The sequence below is a fragment of the Homo sapiens genome, chromosome 2 (assembly GCF_000001405.40).
Source record: "Homo sapiens chromosome 2, GRCh38.p14 Primary Assembly".
In the NCBI taxonomy this organism is placed as follows: Eukaryota; Metazoa; Chordata; class Mammalia; order Primates; family Hominidae; genus Homo; species Homo sapiens.
In genome coordinates this window covers 170,132,100-170,149,433 of record NC_000002.12, presented here as the reverse complement: position 1 = coordinate 170,149,433, position 17,334 = coordinate 170,132,100, and positions in this window count along the sequence as shown.

Here is a 17,334-nt window from a genome sequence, read left to right as displayed (position 1 = left end):
TCGGCACTTTGGGAGGCCAAGGCAGGCGGCTGGGAGGTGGAGGTTGTAGCGAGCCGAGGTCACGTCACTGCACTCCAGCCTGGGCACCATTGAGCACTGAGTGAAGGAGACTCCGTCTGCAATCCCAGCACCTTGGGAGGCCGAGGCTGGCGGATCACTCGCGGTTAGGAGCTGGAGACCAGCCCGGCCAACACAGCGAAACCCCGTCTCCACCCAAAAAACACGAAAAGCAGTCAGGCGTGGCGGCGCGCGCCTGCAATCGCAGGCACTCGGCAGGCTGAGGCAGGAGAATCAGGCAGGGAGGTTGCAGTGAGCCGAGATGGCAGCAGTACAGTCCAGCTTCGGCTCGGCATCAGAGGGAGACCGTGGAAAGAGGGAGAGGGAGAGGGAGAGGGAGAGCTACATTTCTATTATGTTAGAGCCATTACACATCTTGAAGCCTTTTTAGAGATAAAAGAAAAAGCAGTTAAGCTAATCTAACTCTTCTTTTTTTTTTTTTTTTTTTTTTTTGGAGACAAAGTCTTGCTGTGTCACCCAGGCTGGAATGCAGTGGTGCGATCTTGGCTCAATGCAACCTCCACTTCCTGGGTTCAAGCAATTCTCCTGCCTCAGCCTCCCAAGTAGCTGGGACTAGCACTGCCACGCCCAGCTAATTGTTAGTATTTTAGTAGAGATGGGGTTTCACCGTGTTGCCCAGGCTGGTCTTGAACTCCTGAGCTCAGGCAATCCACCTGCCTCGGCCTCCCAAAGTCCTGGGATTACAGGCATGAGCCACCACACCTGGCCTATTCTAACTCTTTAATTAAAAAATTATTATCTTGAAGTAGAAAACAACTGTTTGGAAAATGTGCATATATGAGAATTGGCTTAATGTTTTGGCACCAGAGAAAGCAAAGACTCAGATAGGGCAGGATGGGAAGCTGGAGATTCCTCTTATTCCATGGGCAAAATATTTGGTAAAATTGTCCTCTCTGTTAACTTGCATATTAACTTAATATCTACCAGGCCTGCAGCTCTTGGGGCAGGAGTCAGCAAACTATGACTCATGGCCAGTTTAGCTTGTTGTCTGTTTTTGTAAATAAAGTTTTACTGGAACACAGCCATGCCCATTCATTCACACATTGTCTATGGCTGCTTATGTACAAGAGTAGCATTGAGTAGTTGCAAGAGAAACCATATGGCCCTCAAAGCTTAAAATATTTACTACCTAGCCCTTTAAGAAGTTTATCAACCCCTGATATAGGCAGTAGTGGGATCTAGGTGATGATGGAGCTAAGAAATGAAAGGAGCCACCCAGTAACCAGGACCTGTACTGTTAAAATGAACAAGAAATTAACTTCTAGAGTATTTCAGTTATTAACTACTTTGGAATTTATTTCAGCAGGTTAGCCTGCCCTACTGTGGCTGATTGATGGCAGGCATGGCCTCAAATCCTCACCCCTCCTTGGGTCTTTTTCCTATGTAACTTTGCAGTGCCTTCCCATTGCAGAAGGGCCTTTCTGTCCCAACTCTCAACTTTAGGTTTTGCCATGTGATTTACTGTGATCACTGGAATAATAGCAAATATAACACAAGCGATGACTTGAAAAAGCACTTGCACACTCTTGCTTTTTCCCTCTTGTTCCTCTGACATTGCCATGAGAACAAGCCCAGGCCAACCTGCTGGAGGATGAGACACATGGAACAGAATGCCCAGCCACCGCCCTCAGACATGTAAGAGAGCCCAACCCAGATCAGCAGAGCCATCCATTCAACCTACAAATTCGTAGGGAAAAATAAGTGCTTATTGCTATAGGCCACTGAGATTTTATGGTTGTTACACAGAGCATTATTGTGGTAATAAATAACTGTATATCTACTAACACATAATAGATATGTGTTACTCATTCTTATTTATAAGCTGAGGTGCTTATCTTATATAAAACCTTTCCAAAATCTTATGAGGTAGTTATCATATTTCCATTGTACATAGAAAGAAAAAGGTTCAAAAAGGTGAAGTGACTTGACCAAGTTGCCCCAGCTGAAAAATGTCCAAGCTAGGGCTTTAGCTTTGTCTTCACAAATCCAAAAGGTTTTGCCACAGAATTAAAGCGGTCTGTCTAATATCTTACTCAAGTATCACACATTTAAATGCACACATGAGCCAGGCAAGTTGTATCAACTGTGAAAGAGACCACTGTCATTGTCAGAGAGCTGTCAGGGAAGGGTACAGATCACCAGAACTGGAAAGGCATGCCCCTTCTTGAGGGGCTGCCACAATTCAACTCGGGCCAACTGCTGCCACACAGAGACGGGGCCCAGGTTGCCACATTGCTTGGTTTTTCAAGAGAAGTAAGAAATCCAGAATTTATGTAAACTGTTCTATTTTTAAATGTTAGTTCTGTTTTTAAAAATACAGTGCAAACCAAGTGAAATACATGTGCAATATTTGGCCCACGACTGCCAGCATGTGGCCTCTGCCTTATATTTGCACAACAATTTACAGTTTGACAAGCAGTTTTACATCTATTATGTCCTTTCTCCCTTATAAAAGCCCTGTCAAAGCTAGGCACAGTTGTGTGCACCTGCAGTCCCAGCTACTTGGGAGGCTGAGGCATGAGGATCGCTAGAGCCTAGGAGTTTGAGACTAGCCTGGGCAATATAGTGAGGCCCTGCCTCTGGAAAAAAAAAAAAAAAGCCCTACAAAGACAGAAAAAATAGAGGTTATTATTAAAACTTTTAGAGATGTGGAAACTGAGGCTCATAGAAAGTAAATAACTTGCCCAAGTTCACATAGCCAATTAATAAGAGTCAAGGCTAGCATTCCCAGCCCTTAGGGTTTCTGTACTTTTTCCTTTTTCTTTTTTTTTCTTCTTACAATATAATATAATTCAATCTTATTCCTTTTTCACATAATGGTTGAAAGTTTTTCTGTGTCTGAGGTAAGAGCAGTAGCAGGTGGCGGTGGAGGCTCCATTATTTCAGAAAGTGATGGTCTAGTCAAATTGCCAAGGCTCTGCACTGTGGGCAGATCTTTATTTAAATTAGGAAACTGATTACAGTCATTCCTCCAAATAGTTTACTTTCTCTGATTATTTTGTTTCCTCTGTAAGTGAACCATATCTACTTATTTAATTTATTAAAATCTGCCTACCCATCAAATAGCCTTAGGCTATGAAAACAAAGCAAACTCATAATTAAAGTATTAATAGAGCTTTAAAAGCTAGCAGAAATGATAAAAAAACATAGGCATTACATCTATAAATTAAGCATAAAATTACATTAAGGAATAATTTCCTCCTGGCATCCAATCAAGGTAGCTCAGCAGACTGCAAAGACAACATAACATGCAGCAAACCATCTAATAAATAAATGGCCCTCATCAAAACAAGCATGTAATTTCTGCACAGGAAGCGGTACTGTTTTTACTTAGTTAACTTCTCTTTAATCATTTAAGCAAATTTATATTTGAATGAGGAAAGCCAGAGGGCGTGTAGGAGGCAGGGAAGATGAGTAGATGTCTTTTCACAGCTCACGGCTGGCTCAGAGTGTCCACAAACGTTTTCAAAAGTCAGGGCATTCCTGGAGTCATCTGTTGCTATTCTGGGGCTCTAGTTTTTCAAATGAACTCAAGAGGCTGAAGCGAAGGAGACAGTAAGCACAGAGGGATGGTAGTAGGGACATGCAGTGTCACCCATCCATACCAGGAACGTATCTATCTTTAGGAGAAAGGCCATTCACAATGATACTTCCACTAATGCTAATGAGATGTTAGACACGACAGCTTATAGACTTACAACAGTCCATGGATTGCCCACATAGAAGAGAAAACACAATTCAGTTGATGCTGAACATAAAATGTGCTTGAGGAATTCCCTTATTGAAATTTCAGCCTTTTTTTCATATTATTTTGACATTAAAAAATATACTTTGGGGGCCTCTCTCTAAAAAAAATTCAGGGCTTTTTTTTAGGACCAAAATTAATAAAGATTACTCTCTCAAAATACTGCTGTCATCCTGCCAAGTAAATAAAGTGACTACTCAACCAGAAATTGCACCTTGAGTCCTTAGTCATCACCAATCCAAATTCTGTTAGCTATTACCATTGCTTTGCTTTTTTTTTTTTTTTCTAAGCAAGTCACTCAGCACAAAATATTCTAGAAACATCAGAGTGATACAATATAGTCCTGAGGAGACATGGCAACTAGACAAGTGATTTTTGGGGGAAAAATATGGGTGTGGATTCTCCACCACTAAGGTCCCGGAGTGTGCTGCTTTAGAGATGGAATTCCTGGAAAGATTCCTTTAGCAGAGTTTTAAATTCACCCATCAAAGCAATAGCTGAGATGAATGTCTTGTTGGAAGCAGCTTAGCATTTTACTAACTAGTTCAACTTTTGTAGTCTTCGCACCAGACATTTATAGGTGATTGCTTTCAAGGAGGTAGAAAGCTGCGTACAGGGCACGTTGCTGAGCCTGGCGTCTGGCCCATCTGTGCCAGTTGGCTGAACACCCAGATTATGTAGAATGGGGAGACAGTAAGGTCAGGCTCCTCCTTCCACAAGTAGGTTTGGGCACCAGAGAAATCCATTAATATTTCTCCTTGAAAGAAACAGGCTTGTTAAACACAGAGAAAATGGAGCTGCCCCACATCCCACACTTGCTTTTATGTGTATTTCTAGCAAGTGACCAAAGACCAGTATTTAGGATTCCCACAGAGGACTGACTTTCTTGGTTAAAAAACATCTGCCAGATTTGTTTTTCATGGAGACAGCCACTTCCCGACCCCTGTAATATTCTTTCTGGTAAAAGATTACTGGGGTTAAAAATGAGAGTTTTATTAAATCCTGCCTGTGTCCAGTCAAGCCTTTTAGTTCTACACCACTATCCTTTTCACTTTATTCAAGTAGAGCGAATCTTCAATAGCAATCATTTGAAAACCAAACAGCTGTCTCCTCCAAAATTGCTTTTTTCTTTTCATCATATATCTTTCCCTAATTATTAATGCCACAAACACGTATCAAAGTCCACTCTGTGAAGTGGTTCTCCCAGGCCTGAGGACATCACTGAAGAAGACACTGTCCCCACACTGTCCCCAGCTGATGTTAGTCAAGGGAGGAGACTCTTGCACAAACTGTTTTCACATTTGACTACTACCTTCATCCTGTGTAGATAACTCAGCATCCTACTTCTCATTTTTATTAAAAATGTCTGAGTATGAAAGATATAGTCACTGAAAAAACTAAAAAGTACTGACATATATGAAGGAAATGAGTAAAGTCATGTGTAATCCTGTCATTCAGAGATATTTGTTAAAATGTTGGTGGGTTGTGGGGGAGACTCTTTCCAGAATGTTTTAAAGGTATGTATATACCCAATTATATCTACTATTTTGTAAAGTTTATAGGTGGAGACAAGTGTAAGAGAGAACAAAGAGAGGGAGAGAAACAGAAAAAGAGGAGTGACTAAAGCAAAGAGACAGAGGCAGAGCGGGGAGAGAGACAAGGAGGAAGGGCAATGGCAAGCTGGCAGGGTCCTTAAATCAATTTAGGTCTCCTTCCTCGCCAGGATGATCAGCCAGTCGCAGGGTCACGGGCCCGCCAATTAAAAAACCTTTTATCCTACTGTCCTTTCCAAGCACACTGCATCAATAAGCTAATCCAACCCTGCAGTTACCTCCTGCCCACAAGCCCAAGGCCACTGAAAATTACAGGAGGCCAATTCATAAAAAATGCACTGCTGTTTCCTGACTAGTGGTTTAAAAACATTCTTTTCCAAATTTTTAAATAATTATTTATTTAGCGTTACTTTATGCTTATACCTCAATATCTGATTACCTTGTCAAGTCATCTTCTGTTTTGGCAAAAAAAAAAAAAAAAAAAGCCTGTTCACAACCTGGCAAAAGATTCTGGCTGAGCCCAAGGTCACCACCATAGAGAAGCAGATTGAGGATACTCAAATCTACTAGCCCAAGTGTATTTTTGATTAAAAAATACAACCAAGCCATGTGTCAGAGCCAAGATACCTAAATGCATGGCCTTGTCCAGGCAAAACTGTAAGTGAATTTGTTTTGGACTTCATATGTGGGGGTTTTGATGTTAAGTAGACAATAGCTATGTTCTCATTCTGGTTAGAATAAGAGAGCAAAGTCTTAGGCAATCCTTATCAAGGAGTCCCCTGCCTGCGCTGATAACCACCCGGAAAGCATTCTTCATGTTTCCATCCGAGGACTTGACCACACCAAGTATTTACTCCCAAAGCAGCCAGTGAAACCCTCAAGAGATCTGTCTGGAGATCATCTGGGCAAGTGGGGAAGAGGACAGCAAAAGCATTAGGTTCATTGTCTTCTGCTTGGGAACAGCCACTCCTGGCAAACAGCAGTGACCACTCCAGGGGATGCCCAGCAGCAATGGGAGCCAGCACCACTCCCACCTCTCACAAAGCCCATTGCCACCGAAGAAAATGTGCTCATCTCAACCTCATTTTTGCCTCCTTGTGAGAGTCTTCCAACAGCTAGCCTTTCTGCTAGGCATTAGCAAGGATGAACACAATGAGCTCGTGATTGCCTCTGGGAACACACTACATTCTGTAGTTGTTTTAAAAATCATGAAATAACTCTCAGCCACGACCAACAGTGTCTGTCAGTGGACTGTGTAAGGCACTGGGAGGGCAAGCAATTTTCTCTAAATGCTTCCTGATGATCCATTCTCCGGATCTCCCTTATCTCCTCCCATCTGAAGACAGACTGCCAGCAAAGGCACTCCCTGGCCAGCTTCAGGGCCGGCAGAACGGCATAAATCAGTTTTAGAGCAGTGGTTACAATGAGGGTAAGGAAAGCTACATGCATCTGTCCTCTCTCCACTATCCTAAACCTTGTCATCTTATTATCTGATAACACTGGCATGGCCTTCCAACAGCTTCCCTCTGCCCCGCAGAGGGGCGGCCTTGGAGACCGGGAAGGAGGCAGGCCTGCCCAGCCTGTGGTGGGCAGAAATGGGAATCAGACCACCCACCTACCTACCTAGTGCTTGGAACTCTGAAGCTTTCCCTCCAAAAATGTCACAGGACTGATTGCATGGTAAAAGTTTTGGACTATAGGGGAAAAAACCAGGTAGGTAAGTTCACCGAAGCCCTGAGCAAGAGCCCTTAGGGGTGTGGGTCTGAGCAATTCTGCAGCCCACCTGCTTCCAAAGTGACCCGCTCAGCAACGATCTGTCCGTGGCTCCATCTGCATTGCGGCTCCCTCATGGTCTGGGCTACTCTGGGAGAGGAAGGTGTCACACAGCTAAGGGGAAGGGAACCAGCCCCACTCCTTGAGCTGCATTAATCCCCACGGGGAAAGCAGGTGAGGCCCATCACAGGGGCACAGCAGGCAGTTTACCGGAACGTGCAGGCGGAGGGGTACGCAGCAGTTTTCAATCATAGTTTAAGTCAAATTTACTGAAACCTTACTAATTTTAACTCTTCTGATGCCGCAGCTGACATAATCACGGTCACATGACTCGCAGCTGTAATGTTCTTAAAAAGGAAGCTTCTTCTTCAGGATGATACCAATTAATGCAGGACAGAAAGAACAGCCAGGTCTAGTTCTCCAAGGGGGAATGAGTGGCTTTGGAAATTCTTCCTCTTACCTTGTTTTGTCCTCTTCGGCACGTTCGCTGCTCACATCCAATGCTGCTGCAACGACAAGCAAAAAAACAGAATCATGACAGCCACCTGACACCCGAGGCCCTGCCGCCAGCCTGCTGGGGCCGCCTGAGGTACCAGGGTCCAGGCATTATTTTTCACTCCCTGTGCTCCTGGCAGAGGAGGAAGGGCCTTACCTGCCATTGTTCCACCTGACCGAAGATGAGACTAAACCAGGGGAAATCCTGCTCCCAGGAAAAAGGACTGGGAGAGATGAATAATTAATAATGCCCCAGAACTTGAAGCGGAACGGAAGGTAAGTGTGAGGCCTGGGGTGAATAAAAGAAACACTCAACAGGAAAGGCCACATTTTACCCCTAAGGAAGCTCAGAAAGGGGAGGTTCACGTTCATGTGCTGGGAACTGAGCCTCTCTTTCCAAATGTTAGTTTTGGACTGAGAAAAACCGGGCCGTGGGTTCCAAAAAATCCCAAGGGGACACTTGCTGTTGGGGAAAATGCCCGCTTTGGAGACTAGCCACCCTGGTGCGTGCACCCGGCTTGCCATGCATGCAAGTCGATTCTGAGGTGTCCGTGTTCCTCCCTTTCCTCTGGGTTCTATTCCTAGGAAACTTTCTTCTTCTTTTCGAAATTGTTTACTGTTGTAAGCACGATAACTCAACTAATACCATTCACTGACTCTTATCCATGTATCCTTTTCTCCACAAATATTTGCGAAGCCTCTCTCTATGCCATCTGTGCTAAGATACTAGAACTGAGAAGAAATGTAAGACCCAGAATGTCTCCAGGCTGCCTTGGAGGCCTGTAGTGCTGAATGCCCATGTTTGTGGCCTCCGCATGGCCATCTCCAACCCAGGCCTCTCCCGTGGAGTCAAAACTCACATACCCGACAGCCCACTCATGATCTCCCTCAGACACCTCATGATGTCCAGCAGGCATCTAAATGTAACGGGTCCCAAACCAGGCCCCAAACCTGCTGTTCACAGCCTTGTCTATGGCAACTCTGTGCTTCCTGTGGCTCAGGATTTTCTTGGGATCATTGATGCTTTCTGCATTAGTCAGAGTCTGTTTGAGAACTAGAAATCACACCATTATTCTCACAGAGTTTAATATAAATAATTGTTAACCAGGTATTAGAAGTCTGAAAGGCAAAAGGGGGCCCCGAGGCAGCACAGAGGTTGTAACTGTAGGAAGCAGCCTCCGCCTGGAGGGCTGGGGGAACAGAGAGAAGAGCTGGGCTCATCAAAAGCCTGCAGTCTCAAGGAGGGACCCACAGAGTTAGACCACTGAGGAGGGCACGAGGGCCAGTGGGTGCTGCTACCTCAGAGGGGCCCAGTGAGGCCGCTCCGGGAGTGTGAGGAAAAGCTAGAATTTGGAAATAGCTCCTGTGGTAGTGTTGCTGACAGGGACAGGAAGTCAACACAGCGGAACACGTCTCTTCTCTCTCCCCAGGCTTGTATCTCCCTCTAGCTCTGCTGAACATGGAGCAGGGGCTGGGAAAAATGAAGACTGGTTTGCAGAAACACTGGGTGAGAAGCATAAACTTAAGAACCAGCACTGCCCACGTCTTTGGCTACTGAGGCTCCACACACCTTTCTAAAAACTTTTTCTCTCATGCCCCACCTCCAACCTGCCAACAAATCCTCTGAGTTCTATCTGCAACATATTTTCAGGATTCTACTTATTCTCCCCACTCTGCTGCCACCACTGTGATCTAAACAGCAGGCCTCACTTGGATCACTGCAGTGGCCTCCTCAGGGGTGTCCTTGGCTTCCCTGAGAGTCAGTTCTCCATCCAGAAGCCAACAAGATTGCGTTCATTAATGAGGACTGCTGGAACAAATTACCACAAACTTGAGGGATTAAAACAACGGAAATTTATTCTTTTACAGTTCTGGAGGCCGGAAGTCTGTGATTAAGGTTTTGGTAGGGTTGGTTTCCTCTAGAGGCTGTAGGGGGAAGATCTTAGATGTTCCACACCTCTCTCCTAGCTGCTGGTGGGTGCTGGTGAGCCTTGGAGTCTTTGGTTCTTAGACGCATCGCTCAGGCGTCAGCCTGTGTTTTCCCATTACCTTCTTCTCTGCAGCTGTGTTCACTCCTTATCTCCCACCAGTCACTGGGTTTAGGGCTTACCCTGAACCTAGTATGATCTCATCTTGAGATCCCTAACTTAGTTACATCTGCAAAGACCGTATTTCCAAATAAGGTCACATTCACAGGTACTAGGATATATCTAGTCTTAGACATGGACATATCTAGATTTGGACATATCTTTTAGGGCTTGGTCTTCAACCCCCTGCAGTGATGCTGTTAAAACACAAATCACATCACATCACCCCTCCGCTCAAAATCTTCCAAAGAGTCCCAGCTCATCCTGAGTCCAAACTACACTGCTCCCGAATCTGTCACTTCCCCTTTCTGATTGCCCCTCCTTCTGCTCTCATGTTTCTCACACCCCTGAAACTACTCTGGTCCTCAACACTCCACACACAGGCCAGCCTCGGCCTTTGCACACACTGTCTCTCTACCTGAAACACTGTCCCACTAGTTACTCCTGTGGCCCACTGCCTTGGATTCTTCAGATCTTTTCTCAAAAGTTATCCACTCAGTGAGGCTGCCCCAGACCATGTTGTATACAACTTCCATCCTCATTTCCTACTTTTTTTCTCACCATAGCATTCAACAATATAACATACTATACATGATTTTTATTAATTTTCTTTCTCCTGTCAGTAAAATCTATGCTCAATAAGGACAAGGATTTTTTGCCAGTCTCATTCACTGCTATACCTGAAGCACTTAGAATAGTACCTGGCACCTATAGGCCCTCAAAAATTGTACTTTAAAATGCAGCATATACAATTGGAATCACACAAAGTAGAATATACTAGCATTCCTGTGTTGGTAAGGCACAATACTACAGCAGCATTAAAAACAGCAAGTGCTGCTGTAGATGAAAACATATGCTTTTACATCACAGCAAATCCTAATTTAGTGTATTTGACTCACCTTATCCTGATGACATCTGAGGATACCAAAGTAGAATGCGTGATTGCCACCAATGGAGTTAGTTTAAAATTTTCCTCAGATATAAATAAAACCCAACTTTGATCAACAGTGATAAAAGAAAAGCTGAATTATTTCTATTCTCTTGGTTGAAAATAATGTTACAAAACTTTCATAAAGAAAGAGTATTCAGTAAAGATTTTAGGGAAGTACTTTACAGATGTGTCAGAAGGCTAATAAGATATGTTATTTTTCTGGATAGTTTTACTTTTGCAGCATCTGTCAGCCTTTTTTTTTTTTTTGAAACAGTCTCACTCTGTCACCCAGGCTGGAGTGCAGTAGCAGGATCTCGGCTCTCTGCAACCTCTGCCTCCTGGGTGCAAGCAATTCTCCTGCCTCAGCCTCCTGAGTAGCTGGGACTACAGGCACAGGCTGCCAGGCCCAGCTAGTTTTTTGTATTTTAGTAGAGATGGGGGTTTCACCATGTTGCCCAGGCTGGTCTCGAACTCCTGAGCTCAGGAAATCCGCCCACCTCAGCCTCCCAAAGAGCTGGGATTACAGGTGTGAGCTACCGTGCCCTGCCCCCTGTCAGGTTTTTATGACTTTTCATTAACTACTTTGTTGAGGTATAACTGACATAGAACAAACTGCATGCATTTGGAGGGCACAATTTGATGTTTTGACATTTCTATAAACCCATGAAATTCTCACACTCATACATCATTATCAAGATAGTGAATATAGCCATCACTCTCAAAACTTTCTGTGGGACCCTTTATAAGCTATTGTAACCCTTCCCCACCTGCTTCTTGATAGGCTGTGGCTTTATTTTCATTTAGTTTAAAATACTTTCTAATTTTCCTTTTGATTTCTTTTTTGACCCATGTAGAGATATGTTCTTTAGTTTCCAAAAATTTAGAGGTTTTCCAGAAGTCTTTCTTTTGTTGTTTTCTTATTTAAATCCATTATAGTCAGAGTACATTCATTATGTGACTTGAATCTTTTAAAATTTACTGAGAACTGTTTTATGCTGCAGAATATGATTTATCTTGGTAAATGGACTGTGAAGAGAATATGTATTCTGCTGTTATTAGGTGGAGTGGTCTCTTAATGTCAGTTAGATCAAGTTAGTTGATACTATTGATCAAGTCTTCTGTATTTTTATTTTCCTATTTTTTCTACTTATCCTATTAAGTTAGGGATTTTGAAATCTCTGGCTATAATTGGAGTTTGTCTATTTCTCCTTGCAGTTATATTGGTTTTCACTTTGCATCTTTTAAAGCATTGTTATTTAGTGCATAAACACTTAGGATTTTTATGTTCTCTCAAAGAACTCACTGGCTTCATGTTTAAGAAATGACTTTTTTGTCGGTACATAATAATTGTACATATTTATGGGGTATATATATTTTGATACATGTACATAATGTGTAATGATCAAATAAGGTAATTAAGATGTACATCACCTTAAACATTTATTATTCCTTTGTGTTGGGGATATTTAAAATCTCTTGTAGTTATTTCGAAATATACAATAAATTATTGTTAACTATAGTCATCCTACCATGCTATCAAACACTGGAACTTAACGCCTTCTATTTACCTGTATTTTTGTATCCATTAGCCAACCTGTCTTCATTCCCCTCCCCCTTCGCAGCCTCTGGTAACCACCATTCTTTCTCCATGAGATCAACTTTTTTAGCTCCCATATATGGGTGAGAACATGTAATATTTGTCTTTCTGTGCCTGGCTTATTTCACTTAACATAATGACCTCAAGTTCTATCCATGTTGCTGCAAATGACAATATTTCATTCTTTTTTATAGCTGAATAATATTCCATTGTATATATTATACTACACTTTCTTCATTCATACGTAGGTTGATTCCATATCTTGGCTATTGTGAATACTGCTACAATAAACATGGACATGCAGATATCTCTTCAATGTACTGATTTTCTTTTTTTAACCCAGTTGTGAGATTGCTTTCTATCTAGCCAGCAGTGGGATTGCTGGATGATGTGGTAGATGTATTTTCTGTTTTTTGAGGAACTTCAATATTGTTTTCCAAGTGGCAGTACTAATTTACATTCCCACCAGCAGGATACTAGCATTTCTCTTTCACAACATCCTCACCGGTGTCTATTATTTTTTGTCTTTTTGATAATAGCTATTTTAACTGGAGTGAGATGATATCTCATTGTGGTTTTTATTTTCATTTCCCTGATGATTGATGTTGAGCATTTTTTCATATGCCTGTTGGCCATTGATATGTCTTCTTTTGAGAAATGTATATTCAGATCATTTGTCCATTTTGAAATTGAATTGTTTTTCTGATATTGGGTTGAGTCCCTTATATTTTGTAGTTACTAACCCCTTGTTGGATGGATAGTTTGCAAATATTTTCTCCCATTCTACAGGTTGTCTCTTCACTCTGTAGATTATTCGCTTTGCTGCATGGATGGTATTTAGCTTGACATAATACCATTTGTCTTTTTTGGCCTTTGTTGCCTATACTTTTGAGGTCTTACCCAAAAAATCTTTGCCCAGATCAATGTCCTAGATCATTTCCCCAGTGTTTTCTTCTAGTAGTTTCATAGTTAAGGTCTTACATTTAAGTATTTAATCCACCTTCATTTGATTTTTGTATATAGTGAGAGATAAGAGTCTACTTTCATTTTTCAGCATATAGATATTCAATTTTCCCAGCGCCATTTATTGAAGAGGTTTTCATTTCCCCACTAAATGTTCTTGGCACCTTTGTCAAAAATCAGTTGGCTGTAAATATGTGGATTTATTTCTGGGTTCTCTAATCTGTTCAATTGGTCTATGTGCCTATTTTTATGCCAGTGCCATGTTCTTTGGATTACTATAACTTTGTAGTACATTTTGATATCAGGAAGTGTGACTCCTTCAGCCTTGTTCATTTTGCTAGGATTGCTTTGGCTATTTGAGACCTTTTGTAATTCCATATGAATTTTAAGATTGTTTTTCGGCTGGGCGCGGTGGCTCACGCTTGTAATCCCAGCACTTTGGGAGGCCGAGGCGGGCGGATCACGAGGTCAGGAGATCGAGACCATCCTGGCTAACACGGTGAAACCCCGTCTCTACTAAAAATACAAAAAATTAGCCGGGCGTGGTGGTGGGCGCCTGTAATCCCAGCTACTCGGGAGGCTGAGGCAGGAGAATGGCATGAACCCAAGAGGCGGAACTTGCAGTGAGCCGGGATAGCGCCACTGCAGTCCAGCTTGGGCGAAAGAGTGAGACTCCGTCTCAAAAAAAAAAAAAAAAAGATTGTTTTTCTATTTATGTGAAGAATGTCATTGGTATTTTGATAGGGATTGCATTGAATGTGTACATCGCTTTTGGTAGTATAATAATTTTTCACAATTTTAGTTTTTCCAATCCATGAACGTGGGATGCTTTTCTATTTTTTTGTTACCTCTTCAATTCTTTCATAAGTGTTTGATAGTTTTCTTTGTAGTGAGATTTTACCTCCCTGGTTGAATTTATTCCTAGGTATTTTTTTTGTAGATATTGTAAATGAGATTACTTTCTGGATTTATTTTTCCTCAGGTTCATTGTTGGTATATAGAAAAGCTGCTGATTTTTGTACATTGATTTTTTTTTATCCTGAAACTTTACCGAATCTGTTTATCAGTTCTAAGAGTATTTTGTGAAGCTTTTAGGGTTTTCTAGATATAAAATAATGTCATCTGCAAATAGGGATATTTTTACTCTCTCCTTTTTTATTTAGATGCCCATTATTTCTTTTCCTTGCCTAATTGCTCTGGCTAGGACTTCCAGTTCTATGTTGAATAAGAGTGGCGAGAGTGGGCATTTTTGTCTTGTTTCGGTTCTTAGAGAAAAAGCTAAAAGCTTTTCACTATAATGTTACCTGTGGGTTTGTCATATATGGCCTTCATTGTGTTGAGATACACTCCTTCTATACCTGTTTATTGGGAATTTTTATTATCAAAGGATCTTGAATGTTACTTAATGCATTTTCTGCATCTATTGAAATTATCATATGGCTTTGTCCTTCATTCTGTTGATGTGATGTATCATGTTTATTGATTCACAAATGTTGAACCATCCTCACCTCCCTGGGATAAATCCCACTTGGTCATGATGAACGACCATGTTAATGTACTGCTGGATTCAGTTTGCTAGTGTTTTGTTGAGTATTTTGCATCTATGTTCATTAGGGATATTGGCCTATGATTTTCTCTTTTTTTGTTGTGTACTTGTCTGTTTTTGTATCAGAGTAGTGTTAGCCTCATAGAATGAGTTTGAAAGAATTTCCTCCTCTTCAATTTTCTGGAAGAGTTTGAGAAGAATTGGTATTACTTCTGCTTTAAAAGTTTGATAGAATTCATCAATGAAACCATGAGGTCCTGGGCTTTTCTTTGATTGGAGACCTTTTATTACTAATTCAACCTTGTTTCTTGTAATTAGTCTGTTTAGGCCTTCTATTTCATCTTGGTTCAATCTTAGTAAGTTGTATGTTTCCTGGAATTCATCTATTTCTATTAGGTTTTCCAATTTTCTGGCATATAGTTGTTTGTAATAGTTTCTAATGATCCTTTGTATTTCTGTGGTATCAGTTGTAAATGTTTCTGTTTTTATTTATTTGGATCTTTTCTCTTTTTTCTTGGTTAGTCTAGCTAATGGTTTATTTCTATGTTTTTAAAAAGCAACTTTTCACTTTTTTAATATTTTGTATTTTTGTCTCAATTTTTTTAAATTATACTTTAAGTTCTAGGGTACATGTGCACAATGTGCAGGTTTGTTACATAGGTATACATGTGCCATGGTGGTTTGCTGCATCCATCAACTCGTCATTTACATTAGGTATTTCTTCTAATACTATCCCTCCTCCTGCTCCCCCCACCACCCCCCACAGGCCCCAGTGTGTGATGTTTCGCCCGCCCTGTGTCCAGGTGTTCTCATTGTTGAATTCTCACCTATAAGTGAGAACACGTGGGGTTTGGTTTACTGTCCTGGTGATAGTTTTCTGAGAATGGTAGTTTCCAGCTTCATCCACGTCCCTACAAAGGACATGAACTCATCCTTTCTTATGGCTGCATACTATTCCATGGTGTATATGTACCACATCTTCTTAATCCAGTCTATCATTGGTGGACATTTGGGTTGGTTCCAAGTCTTTGCTATTGTGAATAGTGGCGTAATAAACATACATGTGCATGTGTCTTTATAGTAGAATGATTTATAATCCTTTGTGTATATACCCAGTAATGGGATTGCTGGGTCAAATGGTATTTCTAGTTCTAGATCCTTGAGGAATCGCCACACTGTCTTCCACAATGGTTGAACTAATTTACCTCCCACCAACAGTGTAAAAGCATTTCAATTTTTAGAAATTTATACTCTGATCTTTATTCTTTCTTTCCTTCTACTTATTTGGGGTTTGGTTTGTTCTTGCTTTTCTAGTTCCTTGAGATGCATCATTAAGTTGCTTATTTGAAATTATTCTACTTTTTTGATGTAGGCATTTATTACTATAAACTTCCCTCTTCATACTGCTTTTGCTGTATCCCATAGGTTGTTATGTTGTATTTCTATTTTCATTTAAGAAATTTTTAAATTTCCTTCTTAATTTCTTCATTTACCCCTTGGTCTTTCAGAAACATGTTAATTTCCATGTATTTGTACAGTTTCAAAAGTTCCTCTTGTTATTGATTTCTAATTTTATTCCATTGTGGTCAGAAAATATACTGGATATAATTTAAATTCTTTTAAATTTGCTGTCCCATAAGTCTTATAGGCTTTGTTCTCTATTTTTATTCTTATTTCTTTTTTTTTTTTTTTTTTTCTCTAGCTGGGCAATTCCAAACAATCTATCTTCAAGTTCAGGGACACTTTCTTCTGCTTGATCAAGTCTGCTGCAGAACCTCTTGATTGTATTTTTTATTTTATTTATTGAATTTTTCAGCTATAAAATTTCTGTTTTGGCTTTTGTATGTTATCTATTTCTTTGTTGAATTTCTTGTTCATAACATAAATTGTTTTCATGATTTCATTGTCTTTCCAATTGTCTATCTGTATTTTCTTGTATCCCATTTTGAGTTTCCTTAAGATCATCATTTTGAAAATCGTTTCCAGCAATTTGTCAATTTTTTTTTATTGGGGTCTGTTACTAAAGATTTATTACGTTCCTTTGTAGTGTCATAATTCTTTGTTTTTTCATGTTTCTTATGTCTCTGCATTGAAGTCTGTGCATCTGGTGGAATTGCCTCTTCCAATCTATCTAGAGTGGCTTTCATAGAGAAAGACTTTCACCTACAGTTGAATCTTAGTGGGTTGGTTAGGAAGGGTGTGGAGACTCTGTTTCTAGGTAAGTGCAGTAGTATAGTCTCCATGCAGCTTTTCTTCTGCAGTGTCTAATTTACCATTAATTCCCTCTAATGGACTTTTATAGAAAAGAAATGAGAGTTTTCATCTCTAGAGATTCAATTTGATTTTTTAAAATATCTTTCATGTCTCTATTTACTATTATAAACATATGTAATGCAGTCATTAAAAAAACTGTTTTTATGTCTTTACCTATCAATTCTAACATCTATATGAGTTCTGGGTCAATTTCAATTGGTTTTCTCATTATTATAAGTCATATTTTCCCTCTGCTTTATATACCTGGTAATTTATTAGATGCCAGTCATTTTGAGTTCTTAAGATTTTTTTT